Source organism: Homo sapiens, chromosome 1, assembly GCF_000001405.40.
Source record: "Homo sapiens chromosome 1, GRCh38.p14 Primary Assembly".
NCBI lineage: Eukaryota > Metazoa > Chordata > Mammalia > Primates > Hominidae > Homo > Homo sapiens.
The window spans coordinates 30,758,639-30,783,294 of record NC_000001.11 but is presented as its reverse complement, the minus strand read 5'-3'; the positions used below and the strand labels follow the sequence as shown (position 1 = coordinate 30,783,294).

At 52.5% G+C, this 24,656-nt stretch overlaps 1 long non-coding RNA gene across 2 annotated transcripts, besides 8 other annotated features; it reads left to right on the top strand.

Annotated features, from left to right (window-relative positions):
- Nucleotides 1–943: 943 nt before the first annotated feature.
- On the top strand, nt 944–8,216 carry LOC105378621 (uncharacterized). Of its 2 annotated transcripts, none has more exons than XR_947134.2 (3): nt 944–1,127; nt 1,408–1,560; nt 7,602–8,216. It is a non-coding gene; the product is annotated as an uncharacterized LOC105378621 (long non-coding RNA). The 2 variants fall into 2 exon arrangements; XR_947133.2 differs by having other exon boundaries at nt 1,365–1,560.
- Nucleotides 3,311–3,835: a transcriptional cis regulatory region, noted in NCBI's record as "candidate enhancer chr1.4291 targeted for multiplex CRISPR interference". NCBI's record gives its function as "positively regulates MATN1 gene expression with high confidence in K562 cells {active_cell/tissue: K562}" and the evidence as "EXISTENCE:mutant phenotype evidence [ECO:0000015][PMID:30612741]".
- Nucleotides 3,433–3,512: an enhancer, noted in NCBI's record as "active region_634". NCBI's record gives its function as "activates an Ori minimal core promoter by ATAC-STARR-seq in GM12878 lymphoblastoid cells {active_cell/tissue: GM12878}" and the evidence as "EXISTENCE:reporter gene assay evidence [ECO:0000049][PMID:35858748]".
- Nucleotides 3,623–3,812: an enhancer, noted in NCBI's record as "active region_633". NCBI's record gives its function as "activates an Ori minimal core promoter by ATAC-STARR-seq in GM12878 lymphoblastoid cells {active_cell/tissue: GM12878}" and the evidence as "EXISTENCE:reporter gene assay evidence [ECO:0000049][PMID:35858748]".
- Nucleotides 5,149–5,814: a transcriptional cis regulatory region, noted in NCBI's record as "candidate enhancer chr1.4289 targeted for multiplex CRISPR interference". NCBI's record gives its function as "positively regulates LAPTM5 gene expression with high confidence in K562 cells {active_cell/tissue: K562}" and the evidence as "EXISTENCE:mutant phenotype evidence [ECO:0000015][PMID:30612741]".
- Nucleotides 9,459–9,959: an enhancer, noted in NCBI's record as "H3K4me1 hESC enhancer chr1:31246183-31246683 (GRCh37/hg19 assembly coordinates)". NCBI's record gives its function as "activates a minimal SCP1, AML or CMV promoter by ChIP-STARR-seq in primed H9 embryonic stem cells {active_cell/tissue: H9 hESC(primed)}" and the evidence as "EXISTENCE:reporter gene assay evidence [ECO:0000049][PMID:30033119]".
- Nucleotides 16,419–16,713: a silencer, noted in NCBI's record as "tiled region #12480; HepG2 Repressive non-DNase unmatched - State 23:Low". NCBI's record gives its function as "represses a minimal TATA promoter and a strong SV40 promoter by Sharpr-MPRA in HepG2 cells {active_cell/tissue: HepG2}" and the evidence as "EXISTENCE:reporter gene assay evidence [ECO:0000049][PMID:27701403]".
- Nucleotides 17,706–17,965: an enhancer, noted in NCBI's record as "active region_632". NCBI's record gives its function as "activates an Ori minimal core promoter by ATAC-STARR-seq in GM12878 lymphoblastoid cells {active_cell/tissue: GM12878}" and the evidence as "EXISTENCE:reporter gene assay evidence [ECO:0000049][PMID:35858748]".
- Nucleotides 24,372–24,441: an enhancer, noted in NCBI's record as "active region_631". NCBI's record gives its function as "activates an Ori minimal core promoter by ATAC-STARR-seq in GM12878 lymphoblastoid cells {active_cell/tissue: GM12878}" and the evidence as "EXISTENCE:reporter gene assay evidence [ECO:0000049][PMID:35858748]".

Sequence of the window (24,656 nt, the reverse complement as noted above, 5' to 3'; positions counted from 1 at the left end):
GAGGCGGTGGAGGGGAGGGAGGCCCTGCCAAAGCCCAGGAGCCCCCGGACACCTCCTGCTCAAGTCCCCACTTCCTCCAGGGGAGGCCCTGGGGACCCATCAGATAGTTTGCCGGCACCCTCCCAACAGAAGTCCCGGACTGATCAATGGCTCCCTGCTGGACTTTGAGCCTTCAGCCACAGTGGCCCAGCCTGGTTGGCTAGTCACAGCTGCTGTACCCAAACCTGGCTCCAGGGAGAGCAGAGGGGCTCCCTGGGACCCGCATGGGGCCCTGACCTGCTCAGGAGGGATGCAGACAACCTCTGCCTCTTTGTCGCTCCATGCCTCAGTTTCCCTGTGGCTCAGCATCTTGGGAGAACAGGGGATGGCGGAGATGCTGGAGCCCCTTCCACAGTTCCATTTTGCCTTGCCCCCTGGTTTCCATCTGGGCCCAGCTGTCCGGGGCCTGGAGAGCAGGAGCAGGTGTGTGCAGGGGTATGAGAGTCTCGGGTTCCAGCCCCTGCTTTGCCCTGACCCGTTGTGTGACGCTAGACAGCTGGCTTCTGCTCTCTGGGCCTCATCTCTGTAAAAGGGTCCCCATAAAAGGGTCCCCATCCTAAACCCCTTCCAACTCGGATATCTCCGTGGCTGTGAATCCATGGCTCAGGATGTCCTCTGCCCAAGGACAGCTTTCAACAGGACCTGGAAGCCCCCTGCCCAGGAATGTGTCCCAGGACGACAGTAGCCCTTCCTCCCTGTCCGTCTCCCCTCTCCAGGGCGGGAGACACGCTGAGTTGGCGGGTACAGTGCGCCCTCTGGTGGCTACTCAGGAACACTGCTCCATCCGGGCCCTGGTCGCTAAGTTCTCTGCTGGGCTGGTGGGGGTGGTCGGGGTTGGGGGTGGTCGGGGTTGGGGGCGGGGGGCGGCCCGCAAGGGCTGTAGGGGTAGCAATTTTCTTTCCTTTTCGGGGATGGGTGGAGGTGGGGTTGCTATAGTTCTGGGAAGCTTTATGGCCCCCAAATGTATACCTGCCACCAACATCACCAACATCTGTACCTCAGAGAAACTAAGGCCCTGGCTGGGATTTTTTTCTCCTGTTTCGCAGACCCCCGTCTGATGAGCTGATGGGGTACCTTGTCTCTGTGAGGTGAGTGGCAGCATCCCCACATGGTGGATGAAGAGACTGAGTCTCAGGCGGCCTCGTGATTGGGCCACTCCCAACCTTTCCGGCCTCAGCGCCTGCCCCTTCCTGGGACATCCCAGGGCCTCCGGCCTCCCAGCCGAGACTCACACTGTCCCCTCTGCCCAGAATACCTTCTTCTTGGGAGGAATGTCCATCCTTTAGGTCTTAGCTCAAATGCTCTTTTATTTGTCCTTATTTCAGAAATTGTGGTAACGTATTCGTCCATTTCTGTTGCTTGTAACAGAATACCTGAAACTGGGTAGTTTACAAAGACAAGGAATTTATTTTATACGGTTCTGGAGCCTGTGAAGTCCAAGGTTGAGGGGCCGCATCTGGTGAGGACCTCCTTGCTGGTGGGGACTCTGCAGAGTCCAGAGGCCACACAGGATATCACATGGTGAGGGGGCTGAGGTGCTGGCCCGGGTCTCTCTTCCTCTTCTTATAAAGCCGCCAGTCCCATGATAATCAATTAACCATTAACCCATTAATCCATGAATCCATGAATAGATTAAACCATTCATGAGGGCAGAGCCTTCATGACCCAATCACCTCTTAAAGGACCACCTCTCAGGCCAGGCCTGGTGCCTCACGCCTGTAATCCCAGCACTTTGGGAGGCCAAGGTGGGCAGATCACCTGAGGTCAGGAGTTTGAGACCAGCCTGGCCAACATGGTGAAACCCTGTCTCTGCTAAAAATACAAAAATTAGCCGGGCATGGTGACGGGCACCTCTAATCCCATCTTCTTGGAAAGCTGAGGCAGGAGAATAGCTTGAATCTGGGAGGTGGAGGTTGCAGTGAGCCAAGACTGTGCCACTCCACTCCACTCCACTCCACTCCACTCCACTCCACTGTGGAGGTTGCAGTGAGCCGAGATCGTGCCACTCCACTTCACTCTACTCCACTCCACTGTGGAGGTTGCAGTGGGCCGAGATCATACCACTCCACTCCACTCCACTCCAGCCTGAGCGACAGAGCAAGACTCCATCTCAAAAAAAAAAAAAAAAAAAAAAAAAGAAGAAGACCACCTCTCACCTCTCAATATTGCCACATTGGAGATTAAACTTCAACATGAGTTTTGGAGGGGACAAATGTTGAAACTATAGCACAGATACATAACATAAAATCTATCATTTTAACAATTTTAAGTGTACAGTTCAGTGGCATTCACTACACTCACAGTGCTGTGCAGCCATCACCACCGTCCATCTCCAGAGCTTTGTCATCTTCCCAAACTCAAACTCTGTGCCCATCAAACAATAACCCCCATTTCTTCCCTCCTCTCTGCCTCTGGCAACCTCCATTCTACCTTCTGTCACTATGAACTTGACTACTGTAGGTATCTCATATAGGCAGGATTATATAATAGGCTCCTCCTTTTGAGTCTGGCTGATTTCACTCAGCATAATGTCCTCAAGGTTCACCCACGTTGTAGCATGCGTCAGAATTTCCTTCATTTTTCAGGCTGAATAATATACCATCGTGTGCCTTGGTCACATTTTGTTTATCCATTCATCCATGGATGGCCACTTGGGTTGCTTCCTCCTTTTGACTATGTGAATAATGCTGCTATGAACATTGGGGTTGAACAAATATCTGTTCAAGTTCCCGTTTCAGTTCTCTTGGGTGCATCCACAGAAGTAGAATTCCCAGGTCATGTGATAATTCCATGTTTAATTTTTGAAGGACTGCCATATTGTACTCCCACGGTGGCTCTACCATCTTACAGTCTTGCTAGCAATGTACAAGGGTTCCAATTTCTCCACGTTCTCACTAACACTTGCTATTTTCTGTCTTAAAAAAAAAAATAACAGATGGCCAGGTGCAGTGGCTCATGCCCATAATCTCAGCGATTTGGGAGGCTGAGGCAGGAGGATCACTTAAGCTCAGGAGTTTGAGAACAGCCTGGGTAACATAGTGAGACCCTGTATCTACCAAAAAAAAAAAAAAAAAAGTTAGCTGGGTGTGGTGGTGCACGCCTGTAGTCCCAGCTACTGGGGACACTGAGGTGGGAGGATTGCTTGAGCCTGGGAGGTTGAGGCTGCAGTGCGCTGTGATCACACCACTGCACTCCAGCCTGAGCAACAGAGTGACTGAGATCCTGCCTTAGAAAAAAAAAAAAAAAGCCGTCCTGATGGAGGTGGAGTGGTGTCTGAGCATTGTGCCAGGCACTTTGTGGCATTATTTCATTTATCATATTATTATTATCCCCATTTGGCAGACGAGAAAACCGAGCTTCAGGGAGGTAGAGTCGCTGCCCTAAGTAACAGGGAGTCTGAGCTCTAAGCTCCTGCCCTGCCCGTGTGGTGCCTTCTCTGGGATTTATTAGGTGCCTGGGATGGAGTTCCCCAGATGGCCAGCAGGGGGCGCCCTTGACCCGGAGTCTAGCCTGGGCTTGAGGGTGGGGAGGGCAGAGCGGAGGGCTCAGAGTCCCTCAGTCCAAACCACTTACTCTATCCCCATTTTACCCTCCTCACCGCCAACCCAGTTCCCAGCCTCTGACTGCAGAGAACCCTGCAGCAGGGACTCAGGCAACTTGATAGAAGTGGGAGAGGTCCCATTAACAAGCCTTGTGACCTTGGGTGTGTGGTTGAACCACTCGGAGCCTGTTTCCCGTCTCTGAAATGGGGGCTACCACTGCTGCCTTGAGGATCTATCGATAGCCCTGCAAGTCAGGCATTTTGGCTTCCTGGAAGGTTGAGATGATGCTGCTGTTTTGGGGAATGGAAAAATGAGCATTTACTGGGTGCTAATTATGTACTGGGTGCTAATTATATGCTGGGTGCTTCCAATGGGACATTTTATTTTATGCCAACATAGTGAAATAAGGAATATTATTCCCATGTTACAGACGAGGAAACTGGGCTCGGAGAAGAGAAGTGAGTTGCTCAAAGCTCACATAGCCAGAAAACAACAGAGCTGGAATTCAAACCCAGCTTCTCCTTCTCCTCCAGGTGACCATTCAAACAAAGGCTAATGTGTGGTCTGGGGAGGGACAGGGAGACGAAGAGGCAGAGCTGCTTGCCTCCCCCTTCCTCCTTGGACTCTGCGGCCAGGCCGCCTGCCTTTGGCTCCACCACCTACTAGTTCTGTCCCCAAGGGCTGATCACTCCACCTCCCCGAGCCTCAGTTTTCTCATATGTACAATAGAGATAATCAACTTTGGATGATTCCGGATTTTAACAGTGAAAGGAAACGTCTTGGGTCAAAGGGAAGTCCCAGGCACAGCCGGTTTCAGGGATGGAAATAACGGGGTTATCCTTCTCTATCATTTATTCTTGGTTTCTCAGTCGCCTCTCCACCTCTCTGGGCTCTGCTCATCTCTGGGTTGGTGGCCTCACTTTCTCCTACTGCAGGCTTGCTTCCTTGATGTGGTGGGTGAAGAAAGGAAGGCAGGGCCACAGAGAGCGTTGGGCTTACATCTTTCCAGCTTTTCACCCTCGGGAAAGAGAGAGCTTCTCTACTCACAGCCAAATATTAAATCACAGGGAAAGAGTCTGATTGGCTAGGCTTATCTATTCCTGGGCCAATCACTGTGGCCAGTTGGAGATGAGGCATCCTAACTGGCTGATCTAGGTTACATGTCTGCCCCTGTGGTTGGGAGTGGGGAGTCTGGATAAGCAGCCTCACCAGAAGCACTTGGAGTGGGGCCAGGGCAATCAGTCATAGCTAACGCATCACTTACCATGTGCCAGTGTTGTTCTCAGCACATTGAACGCACAAATTCATTTAATTCTCACAACCAGGGTCCCATTCTACAGGTGAGGCAACTGAGGCAGAGAGGCACACAGCTGGTGAGTGGTGGGATTTGAACCCATTCTGGTTCCAGAGCACAGGCTCTAGTTCACCTGGAGGAAGGCTGTGGCATTATCAGAAGCAGAAGGGAAGGGCTGCCTGGCAGACAAACCCTGTTCCCTCCAGCACCCGTGGTATTCTTGGATGACAAAGAAGTCACCCCTTCCTGGGCTCGGCACACAGTAGGCCTTGTGGAATAGATGTTCTTCCCTTTCCTTGGAAAATCAGGGCAGACCAGCCTTATCCCCAAGGAACCAGGTTGGTGCTGTCCAGTTGAAAGTTCTCTGTGGACGTAGCCCCAGCCTAGGAAGCTCCAATGGCCACTGCTCCCCCTGCCGGGAAAACTGGAGGTGGCCATTGGGCCCTTCCGCCCCACCAGCCTGCACAGAGGGCTCTCTCAGTGTGGAGGGACCTCGGGTGAGAGGTGTGAAGTGGGAGGAGGGCGGGGAGTCTGGCTGGATCCCCCCTCATCCCGCTACCACCCGCACCAGGCTCCTTCCCTCCGTGTTATCCTTGGAGCTGAGGCTGGGGGCCGGGGGCTCACCAGGGGCGGTGGTGGGCCTCTGCTGGGTACACAAACACCAGTCAGCCATCCAGTGGCCAGTGAACAAGGCGAGCCCTCAGCAGAACTCGATAAGGTTTCCAAAAACAAGACGGGGCCGTTGAAAGGCTACATTACTCCCTCTTGCTGACAGCTGCTAATTTATGCTAATCAGATGCAGGAAAACCCCAAGTTCCCAGTGGGCCCCAGGAGACAGGGAGAATCCAGCCCTGCTGAGCAGGAGGGTGAAGTGGACCTGTGTTCCCGTGGCCGCCCGGCCCCTGCCCTGCCCTGGGCCCCAGAGTGGCCTCAGTTCTCCTGGTCCCTCGCTCTGCTGGGCCAAGAGGGGCTGGGACCTTGTCCTGGGTGCCAGGGCCCCTGAGAAAGATTAGGGGGATGGGGTTTTGGGGTCAGTCTGTGGCCTGGCTGAAAACAGGCAAGGTGGCTGCCACGAGCCACGCACTCAGCCATTAATTCACTGACTCCTCCTCAACTCCGCGAGGTGGGAGTCACTGTGGCTGTGAGGAAACAGAGGCCTGGGGTGGTTCAGTGACTTGCTCAAGGTGGCCTGGAAATGGAAGCATTGGGTGACAACTCTGGTGTCAGGCATCCTGGGCTGAGCTCCTGGATCGGCCACGGAATAGCTGCGTGACCTTGGGCAAATTGCTTAACCTCTGCGTGTCAGTCCCCTCATGAGTAAAGCGGGAATGATGGCCATATGTCCTCATGGGATGTTTGGACCATTAAATGAAATGCTGGCATGCGGCGGGCAAGAGCAGAGTTGGTCATGGCCTTTAGCAAACTGAGGCGTGGCCTGGAGTCCGACTCCATGGGTCTGACTCCGAAGCCCAAGTTCCTCCAAAGGCCCCAGGCTCTTTCCTCCCTGAGGAGTCTGGGGACAAGAAAATTCCCAAGGCACAGCCCCTTCCCATCCGAGGCCCCCACCCACATGATATGACCAAATGCAGAGTGCAGGGGGCAGTGAGATCCCTGGGCCTGCTCCGGACTCCTCCAGGCCTCTCAGCAGGCAGCCTCGGCTCATGGAAAGGGCATGGGGTTGAGGACCAGGGACGAGGACTCCAGCCCCAGCTCGGCCTCTTCTTTCCCACCAAGTGGCTCAGGGGTGGCCTTTTTGATGTGAGATGAGACACTGGACATTGCATTCCCCGTGGTCTGCAGGGCTGTGTGTAGGGTGTCATCATTTCTGCCTCTTACCTTGGCCTGTGCTGTTTCTAGGCCCTGACCCCCCTTTCCTAGGTCAGGGCCGGTCTCCTCTGTCCAGCCTTGCTGGCTGCCCCTGGGTCCCCATGACTTTCCTTTCCTTTCCCTTTTCTTTCCCCTTTTCTTTCCCCATTCTTTCCCCTTTCCTTTCCCCTTTCCTTTCCCTTTTCCTTTCCTTTCCTTTCCTTTCCTTTCCTTTCCTTTCCTTTCCTTTCCCCTTTCCTTTCCTTTCCCCTTTCCTTTCCTTTCCGCTTTCCTTTCCTTTCCTTTCCTTTCCTTTCCTTTCCTTTCCTTTCCTTTCCTTTCCTTTCCTTTCCTTTCCTTTCCTTTCCTTTCCTTTCCTTTCCTTTCCTTTCCTTTCCCCTCTTTCCTTTCTTTGGAGTCTCACTCTGTCATGCTGGAGCACGGGTGGCGTGATCTCGGCTCCCTGCAATCTCTGCCTCCCAGGTTCAATTGATTCTCGTGCCTCAGCCTCCCGAGTAGCTGGGAGGGACATGCACCACCACGCCTGGCTAATTTTTTGTATTTTTAGTAGAGATGGGGTGTCACCATGTTGGCCAGGCTGGTCTTGAACTCCTGACCTCAAGTGATCCACCCACCTTGGCCTCCCAAAGTGCTAGGATTACAGGCGTGAGCCACTGTGCCAGGCCGAGAGTGCATTTCTTTAACCCTTTGCTGCTGGCCTCATGCTCCTTGGGGTCCATTCTCACTCCTTCCCTCAGACTCCCTCCCTCCCTCCTCAGTTCAGCTCCCCTCCCCGCTCCCCAGTTGCTCTCCTCACCACACATCTGCAGCCTCACCCAGTCACTGTGGCTCAGGCACTGGCACGGGGATGGGATGGCCTGGTGGTCAGCACTGGCTGCTACCTGTCTGTTTCCTCGCAGGAGGAGCTGACTGAGCCTCAGTGTCCCCAGATAAGGAGGGGAGTATGCTCCCAGAAGCGTCTCCTGGGGGGCTAAGTGAAAGCCGGGCCAACCCTTCGTCCAGAGCCCTATGTCCACGAGGACCAGCCTGGCAGGCACGGGCCCTTCTGGCACCAGCGTCCTGAAGGGCTGAGCAGTTGGTGACTGGATAATCCTTTTCTGAGTGTATCATGACCTCTGGTTGTGTGAGGAAGCCCAGAGACCGACTATGGCTTCCTTGGGCTTCCAGAACATTCTTGGGTTTCTGGAACCATCAGAGCCACGGTAATCTGGTGATTCTGGGTGGGCCGTCTGGGGGCCTGGGCCTTGCAGCTGTGAAGAATTCATTTAAATTTTCCATGGAGGGATTGGCTCCCGGCCAGGCCACGTGAGTTATTTTGAGGCACTCTGGTCGGTGCTCTCTGCCCTGCCCTCGTCCAAGTAAACGAGCCCCACCGAGTGGGCCTGGAAACCCCACCCAGCCTTGTTTATGGCCCTGCTGGGCTCTGTGGCTGGTCAGTGGCCAGAATCTGGCATCTGCCCCCCATTCCCTCACCCCAGGCTGGGTGGAGTAGGCACAGGATGGTAAAATGTCCTGACCCATTCATGGCAGTGTGGTTTCTGGGCCAGGCAGGGGCATCCTGAACTGAAGAAAAATAAAAATAAGATAAACATAGCAATCCCAATGTCACCCTTCTGGGAGGCCTCCCCTCGTGTGTCAGGGCATGCGGTACAGCCGGAGACCAGGAGAAGACCATGTCCCTGCCGGCCTACCACGGGCACACAGCCCAGCACCGGCAAAGCTGCCCTGCCATTTTTCCACTGAGAAGTGCTTCAGCGCATTCAAGGTTGGCTCTGGTTGAGTGTCTGGGGGCCCGGGGGTCCCGCCCCCTCTTTCCCACTGCGTTGCCCCCCAACCAGAGGCTCATGCTCAGCTGCTTGCTCTCTCCAAGATCCTCCCCAGAGGCCGGGGTCCCAGCTCACCTGGGAGGGTCGGAGAAGGTCCCACTGCCCCCTCGGGGCGGGCCTGGGTCTTTTCCAGTCCTCTAGTGAGTGAAGCACCCTCAAGTCCATGCCTGCTCAGGGCATGGGGCAGGGGTGTCCCTCACATGGAACAGCTTTGGTGACCCATGGAGCCAAAAGATCCCCCTGCTCCCAGCAGTCAGAGGGGAAGGGACAAGGCTCCCATCAGGGCAGACTCCCCTGTCCACTGTCTTTCAGTCAGGACGACCGCAGGGGCAGCTGCGGAAACCAGCTTTGCAAAAGTTATACCAGTTATATCGGGGGTCAAACGCCTCACACACCTGCACTTTATGTCCATGGCAACCCTAGCAGGTGGATTCCATTCAGGAGTATGCTGGTAAACAGGCTCTCTAAAAAAACAAAGCAACCAACCAACCTCAAACACAACAACTACTGATTCGTAGTATTTGTCAATTCTCACACTTCCATGGAGGCCCATGAGGCCACTGAACTCAGAGTTAAGCCATAGGACCTCTCCAGCATGCACCGGTCCTGTTCCCATGCCAACCATGAGCTGGGGAGCGGTCTCCATTCACAGATTCAGATGCATGGGGAAAGCACCCTGCCTCTGCTTCCTGAACTGACCTTTGTTTCTATTTTAGATCCTCATTCCATTAAGCGATGGAAGCCCCACATCTAGACATCATGGTTCCCACTGGCCCCTGCCCAGGCTTGTCTAGGGTGTGGGGGTTTATGTGGCGCTGAGACACCGGTGGGGAGGGACACATTAGATTCTTAGCATTGTCCCCTCTCAGCTTCCCCTGTGATGTTTGCCTCTCCTCTCCTCTCCTTTCCTCTCCTCTTCTCTCCTCTCCTCTCCTTTCCTTTCCTTGATGGGGGTCTCACTCTGTCTGTCACCCAGCCTGGAGTGCAGTGGTGCTTACATGGTTCACTGCAGCCTCGACCTCCTGGGCTCAAGTGATCCTCTCACCTCAGCCTCCCGAGTAGCTGGGACTACAGCCATGCACCACCACGCCTGGCTAATTTTTAATTTTTTTTTGTAGAGATGGGCTTTTGCCATGTTGCCCAGGCTGGTCTCAAGCAATCTGTCCACCTCGGCCTTCCAAAGTGCTGGGATTCCAGGCATGGGCTCCTGTGCCTTGCCTTGCATTCTTGTCTAGACTTTGCAGGAAACTGCAGAGTCCTTCCTCGTTCCTGACCAGTGTGCCTTCAGAGCCTCCACATCAACGCCATGTTCATGCCACTGTGAAAGCCACCACGTCAGTGCCGGGTCCGTGCCACTGTGAGAGCCACCACGTCAGTGCCGGGTCCGTGCCACTGTGAGAGCCACCACGTCAGTGCCGGGTCCGTGCCACTGTGAGAGCCACCACGTCAGTGCCGGGTCCGTGCCACTGTGAGAGCCACCACGTCAGTGCCGGGTCCGTGCCACTGTGAGAGCCACCACGTCAGTGCCGGGTCCGTGCCACTGTGAGAGCCACCACGTCAGTGCCGGGTCCGTGCCACTGTGAGAGCCACCACGTCAGTGCCGGGTCTGTGTTACTGTGGGTAGAGGGGCAGCATCCAGCTGCATCTGCCCCTCTGAGAGAGCTCTCTTGCCCTGTTGCCTGCCAGGCAGCTCCTGCACTTCTCCATGGGGTGGCTCTGGCCATGCCCTGGGCTCTGCTCTCACCGTTTGCTGTCTTTCCCTGGGCCTGGGAGAACTGTCACTTCCAGGGGGTTGCAGGGAACCCCCAACCCCAGCTTTCTCCTCTGTTCCTCACCTTCTACCTGGTCTCAAGGGTGGGGAGGACATTTCTGGTTCATCGCGTGAGCTTCTAAATTTTCTATACTATTCAGAGCGTGGGCTCTTGAAACATGGAAAACCAGGTGCTCTGACTGCTGTGCCTATATTCTTCTGTGTCCTGCTCAGCTGCCCAGATGTGGGGACTAAGGGCAGGGGGCAGGGAGGGAGGGGCAACAGGAAATTCTGGAGAGAGAGGCATTGGTGAATACTTCAACAGATTATCCTGATAAAGCAAACACAGAGAGGTTAAGTGACCTGCTCCAGGTCTCCCAGCAGGTCAGAGGCAGAACCAGTCAAACCGAGTCTGAGTCCTTGGCCTCCAGCTCAGCAGAAAGCAACTAGTGAGAACATCATGATGTCCCTTTGAACAGATTGGGACGGAGGCCCAGAGCAGGGAAGAAATTACCCAAGTGGATGCAGCAAGTTGAGGCAGAGTGAGGACTGGAACTCAGCATGCCGCCTTTGTCTGGTGTTGCAGCCCGGAACCCCCGGGAAGCCTCAGAGAGCCTGAGGGAGGAGGAGAGAAACATCAGAGCAGGGAGCTACTAGGGCCTGGCTGCTCTGCTCCCATGTGGCTCAGGAAGGGCTTGTCCCCTGTTAACATCTATTTGTCATCTCTTCGCTGGGGTGCTTTGAAAGGAGAAGGACGGGTCAGGTACAGTGACTCATGCCTGCAATCCTAGCACTTTGGGAGGCTGAGGCAGGAGGATCACTGGAGGCCAGGAGTTTGAGACCAGCCTGGGCAACATAGTGAGACTCCATCTCTACAAAAAATAAAATAATTAGCCAGGCACACTGGCTCACACCTGTAATCCCAGCACTTTGGGAGGCCGAAGTGGGAGGATCATTTGAGCCCAGGAGTTTGAGACCAGCCTGGGCAACATAGTGAGACCCCCATCTCTACAAAAAATAAAATAATTAACTGGGCATGGTGGTTCATGCCTGTAGTTCCAGCTACTCAGGAGGCTGAGGCAGGAGGACTGCTTGAGCCCAAGAAGCCAAGGTTGCAGTGAGCTGTGATCGCACCACTGCACTCCAGTCTGGGTGACAGAGTGAGACCCTGTCTCCAAAGGGGAAAAAAAAAAGTGAGGGAAAAGGTTGCAGTTAGCTGTGATTGCACCACTGCACTCCAGCCTGGGTGACAGAGCGAGACCTTGTCTCCAAAGGAAAAAAAAAAGTGAGGGATATGTTTCAAGGCAGGCTCCTTCTTCCTGCCTCCTGCCTGACCATCTTGGCTCTGACCTGACATTTCTGAAGTCCCCATCTCCTTTCTGATTTTTTAACAATCTCAAACATATAAGGACATCGCAAGTACAGTAGGGAAAGCTATTTTTCTCCCTGGCCATCTGAGACTAAGTTGCTGTCATCATGCTCTATCCCTGCTGAATACTTGTGTCTATTTCCTACTAACAAGGACATTCTCTTACACAAACACAATGCCATATGAAAATCCCAAAGCAAACCTCACACTGTATCCTAGGTCCCCCTGTTGTTCCAGGAATGTCCTAGCCATTGAGTCATCCTGTCTCTTTAGCCTGGAATAACTCCTCATTGAGTCTTGGTTTTGTGCCCTTGACGTTGTTGGATATTCCAGGCCGGTTTTGGAGAACGTTCCTTATGTTGGGTTTGTCTCCTCTTGGTTATATCAGGCTGAGCATCTTCAGGGGGCTGATCACAGAGAGATGCTGCTTCTCTTCCTGCATCCCTGCAGGTGGCTCACGGTTCTCATTTGCCCTGGTACTGATGAAATCCACTTGGCTCCCTTGGTTGGCTTCTCCACTGCAGAGTGACTCTTTTCCCTTCATCATGGAAAAGGATTTTGTTCGGTCGGCACTCTGAGACACCATGAGTAGCCTACTCCACACCAAACTTCTGTTATGCATTAATTAATTCACATCAGCCAGAACTCACGGTTCCCTATTTTTTTCAGTGGGTGATGCTGTGTTACTGTGGGTATTTATTTTGATGCTCAGAAGAAACCGGAGGGACCTTCTTCATGTCCCCAGTGATGTCCCTGTCATTCCTTGAGTTCTTCCTTATTTTCTGGCACAAAAGATGTTTTAGGCTCATCTTATTCTTTCTCTGGCCTGACCCTGGAATCAGCCATTTCTCCAATGTAGGGGCTAATTTTAAGTTTTCTACCAGACTCGCAGATGAGGCTGAACATTTAGTTATCATATCGTGTGTGTGTGTGTGTGTGTGTGTATGCATGCATGTTAGATGTGTGTTAAAAAAGTGTATTTATGAAATATAACATTAAAAAAGATCAGAGATTTTAAAACTGAGGTTGGGCAGTTCTTTTTTTTAAATATATATAAATACACTAGAAGCTTTAAGGGGGGCCCGGGATGGTGTCCTGGGCCTCTTGTGGTTTCTGCCTTGCCCCTTAGCCTATGAGGCACACGCCCCTGACCTGGCCTCTCCCGCCTGGGCCAGCACATCTGAAGCCCAGAGGGGCGCAGGCGAGGCTGGGGTCTTGCCAGAGCAAACATAGCCCCTGTGCAGGGCCAAGGGAAACAGCGTTGGGTCAATATTAGCTCGTGCGAAACAGGCCTGAGGAACGTGTGGTTTGTCCCACTCGGCCTCTGGGAGGGAGAGGTGGACTCAGGCGCTCACAGCAGCACTTACCATTGTTGGGCCAGCCTCCTTCTGTGTGGATGGGGAAACTGAGGCCCAGAGGTGGCAGGGCAGGGACTTGCCTTGGGTCACAGTGCTCAGAACAACACTCTTTTGTAGTCTACATTCTTTTTTTTTTTTTTTTTTCTGGAGATGGCCTTGCTCTGTCGTCCAGGCTGGAGTGCAGTGGCGCAAGTATAGCTCACTGAAAGCTTGATCTCCTGGGCTCAAGGGATCCTCCTGCCTCAGCCTCCGGAGTAGATGGGTCTACAGGTGCATACTTCCATACTGGCTAACTTAAATTTTTTTTTTTTTTTTGTAGAGATGGGGTGTTGCTATGTTGCCCAGGCTGGTTTTGAACTCCTGGTCTCAAGTGATCCTCTCGCCTCAGCCTCCCAAACTGTGAATTCTCCATTCTTTTCCTTCAGTTGTTTCTGTTTTCCTCCCTGAGGCTTCTGGGAAGCAGCAGAAGTCAGGTCAGCAAGCACTGGACTGAGAGTCAGGAGTTCTAGTCCCATTTCTGTCTCGCTCTGCAGTGGGACTCTGGGGATGTTACTGCTTCATTCTGGGCCCTTATATCTCAAAGGTTCCTTCTCCCTGAAAATTACAAACTTTGACCTTCAGTGCATCCGCTCAACTAATTCAGGTCCTCAAAATCGAAATTCTTTAGGGGCCAGGTAGAGAAGGTAAATGTGGGGTGTGACAAGTTGTGGGACAATAGGGAGAGGCGGGGACGGTGGAGAGCTGGAAAGTGTGTGCCTGTCATGAAGACATTCGAAGTGAAACAACAAGATGGTGGGACCGTGTTGGTCCTGGGAAGCCCCGAGTGTCTGCAGGCCTGGCTGACTGCTTTCAGGTGTAGCAGGCCTGAGGCAGAGCAGAAGGACAGAGCCCCGGCTCTCGCATCATGTCACACTGCCCCCTGTATCTGACCCTGGAGAAGAGGGAGGCCTGGCTGGGGCTGCCGTTTCCAGGCCCAGGAAAGTACCGTGACGGCTGCTGCGAGGCTCAGGGGTGAGACGTGGCCTGGAGAAGCAGGGAGTGGTCAGGCCTGGGAGTGACGTGGTCCCTGGTCCAGCCCTTCTGCCGGGCTCTCTGAGATTTCATCTACACTCCAGCTGCCGGGATGTGCACACCCGCCCCTGCTCACCTCCTGCCTTATCTGTGGGTCCTGCTGCCTCAGCCTCCTATCTCCCAACTCCAGCTGCTTCCCCTACCTCTCCTTCCTGCCACAAGGGAAAGTCACTGACCACCAACTGCTGCCCACACCCTGACACAACCTCCCCAGCCCCCTCCAACCCTTGAAGAAGCTGAGAACCTGCTTCTGCTCATCCCAGGCCAGCATTTGAGTTCCAGTTTGCCACTTAGGATCTGGGCTCTAGGATCTTGGGCAAATGGCTCAACGTCTCAGAGCCTTGGTTTTCTCATCTCTAAAACGGAAGGTCATCTGGCCATGCTGGATCACTGGGTTGTGTTGTTGTGAGGATTGAACCAGGTAAGGTAAGAGAGTGAGGTCCAGAGCTGCTGCTCAACACACATTCCTCCTCACAGCTTTGGCTCCCAGACTGGATCAGAAACTCAGGTCTCAGCATATCAGGGCCCGCCTCCTCCTGGAAGCCTTCCCTGTTTGCCAAAGCCCAGGCTGAACTCCCAAAGAATAAATAGCTCCAAAGTGGGAGAGACAGGGAGGAGTAGGAAGGGGCTTCAGTGTGCAGCTAGTACATACTTCTCATTTTGAAGTTCATGACGGAAGGCTCTCTTATTTTACAAAGGAGTAAACTGAGGCACAGAGAGTAAGTCTGTATACGAAGCAAGTAAAACAGCTGACTTCCGGCTTGGTGCTCGTCCCAGCACAACACAGCCCTTCCCTTCCAGCAACCCCGGACAGTGGCCTGTGCCACTCGGTGGACAAACACTATGGATGCTCACTTCTGTGCCCAGGCTCACCTCTGCCTGCTTGAACCTCCGCTGCAGACTAACACAAACAGGATGAGGACACAGCATGTCAGGGCCCAAAACGTGGTGCAAGCTGGGGCACACAAGTGACTCAGAAGAGGGACTGATGTAAAAGCAGCAGCATGAAAGTGCTAGCAAAAACCATGGAGGAGTTTTCATAACCAGACACTTTAACAGATATTATAAATTAAATTATCAACACATTCAAGTTCCCTTTAAAAATGGTGAAAAGGCCGGGTGTGGTGGCTCGCGCCTGTAATCCCAGCACTTTGGGAGGCCGAGGCAGGTGGATCACCTGAGATCAGGAGTTTGAGACCAGCCTGGCTAACATGGTGAAACCCCATCTTTACTAAAAATACAAAAATTAGCCGGGCCTGGTGGCGCGTGCCTGTAGTCCCAGCTACTTGGGAGGCTGAGGCAGGAGAATCGCTTGAACCTGGGAGGCGGAGGTTGTAGTGAGCCGAGATTGTGTCACTGCACTCCAGCCTGGCGACAGAGCAAGACTCTGTTTCAAAAAAGGAGAAAAAAAAAAAAAGGTGAAAAATCCCATAAGCAAATCCAGGGATTATTGCGACTTACTTTACAGGCAAAAGAAGAATTTCCTTAACATCTAAAAAACACCTGCAAATCAATAAGAACTAGGCCAACAACCGGAAAAAAAATAGTGGGCAAAGGATCCAGGCAGTTTCTAAAAAAGGAAATACAAATTGTTCCTAAATATGTGAACATATCCTTAACCTTCTAAAAAGAATTGAACTGCAATGCAAACCATTTTTTATCGATCATATTAGTGAAGATTAAGAAGTTTGATACCTCACTGTGTTGGTGAGGCTATGGGAAGTGGCCACTCTTTCACCTTGCTGGTGGGAGTATGAATTGGTACAACCTCTGTGAAGGGCAACTCGCTGATACTGAAAAACACTGGAATGATCGTACCCTTTAACCTAGTAATTCTGTTTTTAGGAAGCTGACTTCCACATGTATTGTATTCACACATGTGAAAATGATACATGTACAATAGTGCTTATTGCTGTAGCGTGTGTAATTGCAAAAGGCTGGAAACAATCTAATGTCTGTGGGTTAAAATTTATTTAATGATGAGATAGTCACCCAAAGGAACAGTATGCAGCCAGAATAAAGACTGGGCACACTCTTTATGTAATTAAATGGAGAAGGCTAGGCCCGGTGGCTCATGCCTGTAATCCCAGTACTTTGGGAGGCCGAGGCTGGTGGATCACCTGAGGTTAGGAGTTCGAGACCAGCCTGACCAACATGGTGAAACTGTCTCTACTAAAAATGCAAAAATTAGCTGGGCGTGGTGGCGGGTGCCTGTAACCCTAGCTACTTGGGAGGCTGAGGCAGGAGAATCACTTGAACTCGGGAGGCGGGGGTTGCAGTGAGCCGAGACTGTGCCATTGTACTCCAGCATGGCAACAAGAGTAAAACTCTCTCCTTCCTAAAATAAATAAATAAATAAATAGAACAATCTCCGAACACATTCAGTAAAGAACAGCTGGTTCAGAACATGGTTAAGTTATACTACTATTTGTGATGCTGGTATGTATTTGAATGTGTTTGCATATGCATAGAAATCTCTGAAAAGCAACACCACAAAATAGGTAATCGTGTTTGTCCCAGGTAAGAATAACAGGGTAGCTGGGAGGGGCTAGATGAGTACTTATTTTTCACTGTATATCCTTTTGTATATATTCAACTTTGTACCATGTGCATTTGATATCTATTAAAACATAAATTTTCAAAAGTGGACAGCGGGGGTATTATATGACCCCTAAGCAGAAGGGCTAATGCGAGCATCTCACACATCACTGAGGGGTTGATGGAGAGGGAGGGGAGACGGAGAAGATCTATACCTTGTACATATCTCCGAATTCTTTTCAGTCCTAAGCAGCATCAGGAGGTCGTGTGGGGTGGTGGTAAGTATACAGGATTTCATGCCTGAGCCCAGAGTCTAAATGTACTTCCAGTAAACCGCTTCAGTCCGCAATCCTCAGTTTCTTAGTCTGTAAAACGGGGGCAACACAGCGCCTCATTCACAGGGTGACACTTGTGCTCTGCGATGCTGCCCCTTCGGCGTTCCCAGACATTACCATGACCCTCGGCCACTCCTGGGAACTCCCTCTGGGGCAGGCTCCCTCTCCGCTCCCCTCCTCAGGCAGGAGACAGAGCCACATTGCTTAGCAAAGCAGCTGAGGGTGGAGTGGAAAATGTCAGCATCAGATAGCACCATGGGAAATGGCGTGCTTCTCCAACCACAAACACCCCCACATTTCCCTCCAGTATTTAGGGGAGTGGGGTGGGGCTGAGGCTGGTGAGGCCTTGTACACCTTCAGGCCTTGTACCCCTAAGCTTTCTTGGCCAAGGCATCCTTGGGTGGTGGAGAGTGCACTAGCAGGGGCCTTGGCCCTCTTGGCTGCCGTGCTCTGTGGGACCCGGGAGAGGTGCTGCATGTGGGCTCTGCTTCAAAGAAGGCCTTGGCTGCTCTGGAAAGCTTCAGACAGACAGGCAGCATCTGATTAGTGGGAACATTCCAAGGCTCAGTTGTCTGGCTATGACTCTTCAGGCAATAGGGAGCCATTGAAAGTTCTTGAGCCAGGCAGGGCTGGTTCTGAACGAGCCTTTAGGAAGTATAGTTGGCAAAGTGAAAGGTGACAGGTTGAGGACCACCTGTTCAGTCCAGCTTCCTCATTGTTAGCTTAATCTTTGAAGTAATTCTGCAAGAGGGGCCGACATATTGTTACCTCCATTTTACAGTTGAGAAAACTGGAGCTGCCGAGAGGTGGTGAGATTGGCTCTTGGTCACATAGCGTGCCGGAGGCAAAGCCGGGATGTGGGCCAGGTTTGTCCCCTCAGGGTCTGCGGACTTCCCCTACACCCGATACCTCTCTAAAGAGGGGCTTGCTATTTTTAGCCCACTGGTGTCATCTTGATTGTGCCTTTGACTAAGAGATGGCATTGTTAACCGGCTTGTCTCGTGATGCTGTCACTCACGTTGTGACTATTACTGACCTCTGCTTTCCCCACCTGGAGTCCTTGGGGCTACCCCAAGGCAGCCTGGACTCGGGAGGAAGTGTGGTGGGAGGGCTTCTGTGAGTGGGGCTGGGATCTGGCGGGCACCCTGAGCAGATGGCAGCCCCTGCAGCCAGGGCTGTCTTGGTCACTGCTCTAGGGCCTAATACAGTGCCTGGCACATAGCAGGCATTCAAGACATACCTGACGCTGCTTGGAGAAATGAATGATGCAGTCGCCTGCCAGATTAGTATATTCACACTGTTCCCCTGGAGGATGCCAGAACAGACCCAAGTTCCCTTGATGACAAGGCCGGTGTGTGCGGGGCCACACGGTCTCCACACACGCGTCCTAATGGGGGCATCCTCACAAGCAAGCACAGGTAGTGGGCTCCAGGAGCCGAGGCAGAGCTGTTCTGTGGGGAGTGTGACCTTTCAGTCAGATGCATGCCCTAGTTGATCTCCTCGTTTGTCAAAAGGTTTTAATTGTTCAGGTACATATATAGCCAGGTGCGGTGGCTCACACCTGTAATCCCAGAACCTCGGGAGGCTGAGGTGGGAGAACCTTTTATCCCAGGAGTTCGAGACCAGCCTGGTCAACAAAGTGAGCCCCCATTTCTACAAAAGATAAAAAAGTTGGCCGGGCATGGTGGTGCATGCCTGTGGTTCCAGCTACTTGGGAGGCTGAGGTGGGAGGATTGCTTAAGCCTGGGAGCCCGAGGCTACAGTGAGCTGTGTGCAGCATTGCACTTCAGCCTGGGTGACACAGCAGGACCCTGACTCAGAAAAAAGAAAAAAAATTATATATGTATATATATTCTGAATTTGTTGGTGGTCTAGACCTCCTGCTCTTTAGCCACTTGTTGGACAGTGGCCCGGAGCCCCAGGCCTGATAGATCCCAGCCCTCCAAGCCCCTTGGCCAAAGAAACCCTTCCCTGCTGGGTGAAGCAGTGTGGCTGGCCCAGGCAGCAGCCCCTGGAGCCTGGTTGGTTCAGGTCAGGCCTCTCTTTCTGCTCCCTGCCTTTTGCCACAGCAAAGTCTCAGGTGTGGGGTGGCGTAGGGGGTTGGATCTGGGCAGTAGGGGTGGAGGAAGGCAGACAGATTTGGGAGGTGGGAGGGAAGCAGAATCCACAGGGCTTGGCGATTGGGAGGAGGTGGAAGTGAGGGTGAGGAGAGAGAGGAGGCTGTGCTGTGGTCTCTGGCTGGGCAGTGGGGAGGCTGGAGGGGCCAACACCCAGAGGGGTCAGTTTGAGATGTATGGAGTGCACGATGGGTGCGGTGTGTGCGTGTGTGTGTGTGTGTGTGTGTGTGTGTGCACGCCATACAGGGGTACTAAGACTCAGTGGCTGATCTGGGCAGGGACTAGCCACAGCTGGGGTCCCCAGAGTAGGGATGGTGGCCCTAGAACAGCAGGGGTGGCCCCCTCATGGCCTGGCCCTTCGGGCTGCTCTGTGCCGGGCACTGGCAGGAAGAGCCTGAGTCACAGTTGGGCTCTTCAGCCTGCAGCTGGCTGAAAATTTATGGATGTCCCTGAGAGGGGTGGTCAGGAGGCCTGGCTGGCTGACGGGAGCTGCCTAGCTGTTTACCCAGTGCCGAGGAATTTGAGGGCAGCAACAGCCCAGTCGCTTTGGAGGGGGTCCAGCCTCTGGGTGCAGCTGCTTGGAGTAACCTGCCTGGTGCCGGGGCCTGGCTGAGAGGGGCCAGGCCTCAGAGAGCATGGATTTGGACACCTCTTTGATGTTATAGACAGGAAAACAGAAGTTGGAGTGGGGAAGTGGCCATTCCAAAGCCCCACAGCAATTCTGTGCTCCAGTCAAGACCAGAAACCAGGCTAGGAAGGCAGCAGGAGGAAGTGATGGAGAGCTGTCACTTGCTGAGATGCTCTTGTTCATGTGTGTCCTTGTTCACCGCCTCCTCTACTAGAATGTTTGCTCCATGAGACCAGGGACCTTGTCTGCCTTGTTCACTGCTATGTCCTGAGCACACAAAACAAGGCTCTTGTTGAAGGGATGAAGTCAGAAGGCCTGGGGAGGTTTTTTTCCCTCACATTACAAGATGTACAGAGAAAGGAGGTTCAGGGCTGGTGCAGAGGCTTCATGATGGCATCAGGGATCCCGGCTCTTCCTCTCTTTCCGCTCTGCATTAGGGTATCGTTTTTGTTCTCATGGTCCCCAAATGGCTTCTGTGCCTCCAGGCATTGCACCTGCATTTACAGAAGGTCGAAGGGAGTTAGGACAATGGGTAGAAGACATGTGCTTATGAAGTCTGTCCCTTTCAAATCAAGAAAGTTGCAGCTTTCCTAGAAGTGACTAAATCGCACACCATGTGTAGTAGTTCTCTACCTTGCTTCTTCTTCTTCTTCTTCTTTTTTAGGTATCTAAAGCCTGGCCCCAGATTTGGTCCTCAGTGGGGCCTATCACTTTTGTTGTTTGCTAGTGGTTGTTGTTTCATTTTTTAAAATAAAAATCCCCTAGCTGGGGGAATGACCTAATGAGGTAACTCCTACTGTGGTGTTGATGGCAGTTGTGCTATTTTGCCACCAACTTCTTAAGGTGCCTGGATCTCTGAGGTTTTTCCTGAGGATGAGGTCAGCAGCAGGGAGGAGGGGGCTCTGGCAGAGGCTGGTGCTTAGGAGGGAATTACCTAGTCCTTGCAGCAGCACACTGGATGCGCTATGACAATCCCCACTCTACAGCTCAGAGTGAGGCAGAGGCTGGTTGGAGACCAGGGCCAGGAGGGAGCCGGGTTTTCCAGCTCCCCATGGATAGTACGGCTGCACCCATGATCTAAAATGCTCCGTCCTGGGGTGTGCCCAGAGCTGTTATTCAGCAGGAGGCTGCTGGCTCGGCTATGCAGACTTTGCAGCCAGTGCTCCTTCTGCCTGCTGGTCCCATCTCCCTGGAGCCTTCAGCCTGCAGTGCCTGTGGCAGCAGCAGACTAGGATATGGTGTCATTGTGCCCCTGGGTGCAGCCAGGGACCCCTGGACTGCCTGGCTGAGGGGAGGCCTCCTTGGAGTGTCTGGCAGACCGTTGGGGTCCCCTGCCTGCCCACTGGACTCAGCAGCTGGTCATTGGAAGGTCTGGTTGTCCCCAGGCCACAGGCCTGTGGGCTGTCCTTGCCAGGCTGACCCTCCAGGCTGACTTCAAGGCCTGGGCCCCTTCCACAGGCAGGGGAGTAGGGGAGGGACCCTGTGGGTTGCACGTGTAGGCCCTGACCCCTGGTGACCGTGCTGGGTTCGGGGCAGGAGACAGGAGAGAATGCTCTGCCGTTTCTCACATTTTTCAGGCCTTTGGCTTTGGCCCTACACATTCCAGCCCCAAACCTCAAAGGCAGAAGTGAGGTGGGGCTTGCAGCCAGAAGGGAATCACAGGCCAGTGGTCTGGCAGGAAGCTGACCTTCAGCCTGGGTGAGCTGCAGGGGGCACCCAGGAGCCCCTCGGGAGAAGACAGCCCTGGAGCTACCTTGGCTGCCACCACTCACATGCCGCCCACGAAGCTGTCCCCAAGGAGGACCTGTGTCCTGGCTCTGCTCCTGACCAGCTGTGTGTCTTGCAGCAGATCACTGGCCCCTTGGGTCTACGGGAGCTGATCAGTGCCTCTCTGCTGCCTTCCTCTGCTGGCTAGGGCTGGGGGAGGCTCAGCTGAGAAAGGGTTTAAAGGACAGGAAGAATCATAGTGACAATCGTGATCAAAATGCTTCCCACTGTGCAGTCCTTACCGTGACCCAGCCCCTTCTAAGTGCTTCATCTAGGTTAATGGAAAGGACACAAGACTCCCAAACTCTTTGTTTAAATACAAAAGCTGGCAGAGTCGTGGGTTTTATTTTTACCTCCAGGCCTATGGGTGAAGAGGGAAGTTCCAGTGATGTTCTTCTGACTTAACAAAGAAAGCTTACAACTAATTCTGCCTTTGAGGAAACAGAGCTGTCTGTTTAAATATTCATATACCATGGCAGCAAATTATTAAGCCAGATAACCAGCCAGAATTACAGACCTTTTCAGGATTAAAGATGACTCTCTAGGATCTGGGAACCATGTCTGAAGTCAGGGGGTCTTAGAAGATTCCTTTGTCAGAAATAACATTGACAAGGGCAGTTTGACAAGCAGATTTGTATCTGCTCTGCCGTGGCTGCGGTGGCATGGAACATTTCCTTGTCCTTATCTTGATGAATTCAGAGGGTCTGAAGTTTTCAAGGGTTCTACCACTCCACAAAGAAGGTATGAAAAGCAACTTGAAGAAGCTCAAAACTTATCATTCGTAACGGAAAACAGCAGAATATAAATAGTGAGCTTATGTGGTGTTGCCACCTGCATGTACAGACAACGAGATGGGCATTATCATTATCCCCGCTTGGCGCAGGAGGAAGCGGAGGCTCAGGGAAGTTCACGACTTGGCTGGGGTCACACAGCAAGGAAGTAAGGGCTGCACTTGTGCAGATGGGGACTGTGGTCTCGGTGGAGTGTGTTGGGCTCCAGCGACGGGGCCCCAGGCTCAGCTGTTGCTTCCACTGAGCAGCTGTATTTGTTCCCTGCGGCCGCTATAATAAAAGACCAGAAACACAGTGACTACAACAGACATTTATTGTCTTACAGTTCTGGAGGCCAGAAGTCAGGAATGCGCCTCGCTGAGCTAAAATGAAAGTGATTCCCTTTCGAGCCTCTAGAGGAGAAGCCATTTCCTTGCCTTTTCCAGTTTCTGGATGCCGCCTGCACTCCTTGGCTCATGGTTCTTCCTCCAACTGCAGAGCCAGGAGTGTGGCATCTTCCACTCCCTCTCTGACTCTGATCTTCCTTCACTTATGGGGACCCATTTGATGACCTCAGGGCCATCCAGATAATGCAGGATAATCTCCCCACCCACCTCAAGATCCTGAATTTCATGGCGCCTGTGAAGTTTCTTTGCCATGTAAGGCCATGTACGCACAGGTTCCAGAGATTAGGGTGGATTTTTTTTGGGGGGTGAGAGGCACTATTCTGCCTATCACAGTGGCTTTGGCCAAAGGGTCTGACCTTTGGGATAATAGCCGTCCTCTCCACAGGGGGTTTGTTGGGAATGACAATAAAGTGATTCAGGCTTGTACTCCACAGGGAGTGACTGAGGTGCCTGCCAAGGGGCCAGTGTGTGCTGGAGCCTGGTGACCCGGTGAGAGACAAATGACTGCATCAGAACTCCTGCTTCTGCGAGGGAGGTAGTGCCCGAGGGGACTCAGAATCAGACAGATCAGGGGTTCAATCCCAGCTCTGCCTCCTCCTAGCAGCCTGAGTACGGGTGAGATCGGGGAGCAGGGACGGGCTGGAAGGGAGAAAACAAACAGATGCATTCACGTGACCTCATTTCACCTTCACCGCAGCCCTGCCAGGCAAATTTCTGTTCCCCCCAACCGCCCCGCCGTTTTGCAGAGGTGAAAACAACAGCTCAGAGAGATCAAGTGCCTTGTCTGACACCACACAGCTACTAAGTGGGGAGCTGGGATTCCCCATGCCCCAGGATTCCCAAACGGATGCCACCTACTCCACCTCCAGGGCTGTCTGCCACATCTGCGTCCTCCTAGGCTGTGGCTTCCTTAATATGTTCTTTAAATTGACTTACTGCCTTTTTTATTTAAATGCATTTCTTTTAAAATGAGACTTTATATTACTCCTATAAATGGAAAATCACAGGATTCATGGACTAGTTATGTATATTTTTATAATGCACATTAAAATGAATTTATCACCATAAAAAATGAGAAATGTTTACCCATAGACCATGTACAATTATTCCACATGCTGTCAGTGTGTTTCATCCCTCTCTTTGGGAGTTGGCTTTGCACCTGTCCTGGTTTCACCAAATCACAATGTTATGAATGGCTATCATTTATTATGGTAGGAAATCGTCAAATGGCTTCTGTGCACAATCAAATGCAGACTCCCCAGCATGGCCTCAGGGCCCTCCTGGCCCCTGGTTTCCTGATCTCCAGTTCCTCTGGTCTTGCTACTCTTAGACAAAGGAGGACTTCTCTTGGTTTTCTGCCTACCCAGCCAGAAGATCCCAGGCCATGGGCCTGTGGAGCCAAAGTTCTTAACCACTGCACTGTGTCACCTTTCTATGATGTCAGGCCTCAGCAAGGCTTATGAAGGAACAGGAACAGCCTTGAAAATGAAGTTGGGAAGGGATAGGCCAGGCCTCCCAGGAGCCCAAAGCTTGCAGAGTCCCCTTGGTCTCATTGGCACATGGAGAATGGATTGATCAAGTCCACCAATCAAGTTTTGTGGGTCTAACAGAGCAACTCCTGCCAAGTGGGAGGAGCTTAGGGACTTTCTATAACCTCTCCTGGGGCAGAAATGATGGGCTGCAGCAGTGTCCAATCCTAACTCCATGATCTCCTGGGAGGGCAGGGCTTCATGGCAGTTCCTGTCTGCTCTGCACTAGAAGCTTGGCATTGCAAAGGGGCTCAGCTGTGGAATGAAGCAGGGCTTCTTCCAGAAATGTTGCATGTACTTCCTATTCCCTTTCTTTATTGCAATATGGATAATTTATCATCTGAGGAGGGAGTAGAGATTCCAGGGTAGCTTGCCTAAGAGTTGTGGCTTATTAATTCCAACTTTTTGCAAGATCAAGGGGGAAAAGCAATCCCTGATTTTGTGTGAGTATGGGGATTGGGTCTTGAGGCCCTGAAAGTGAGGTTCGGG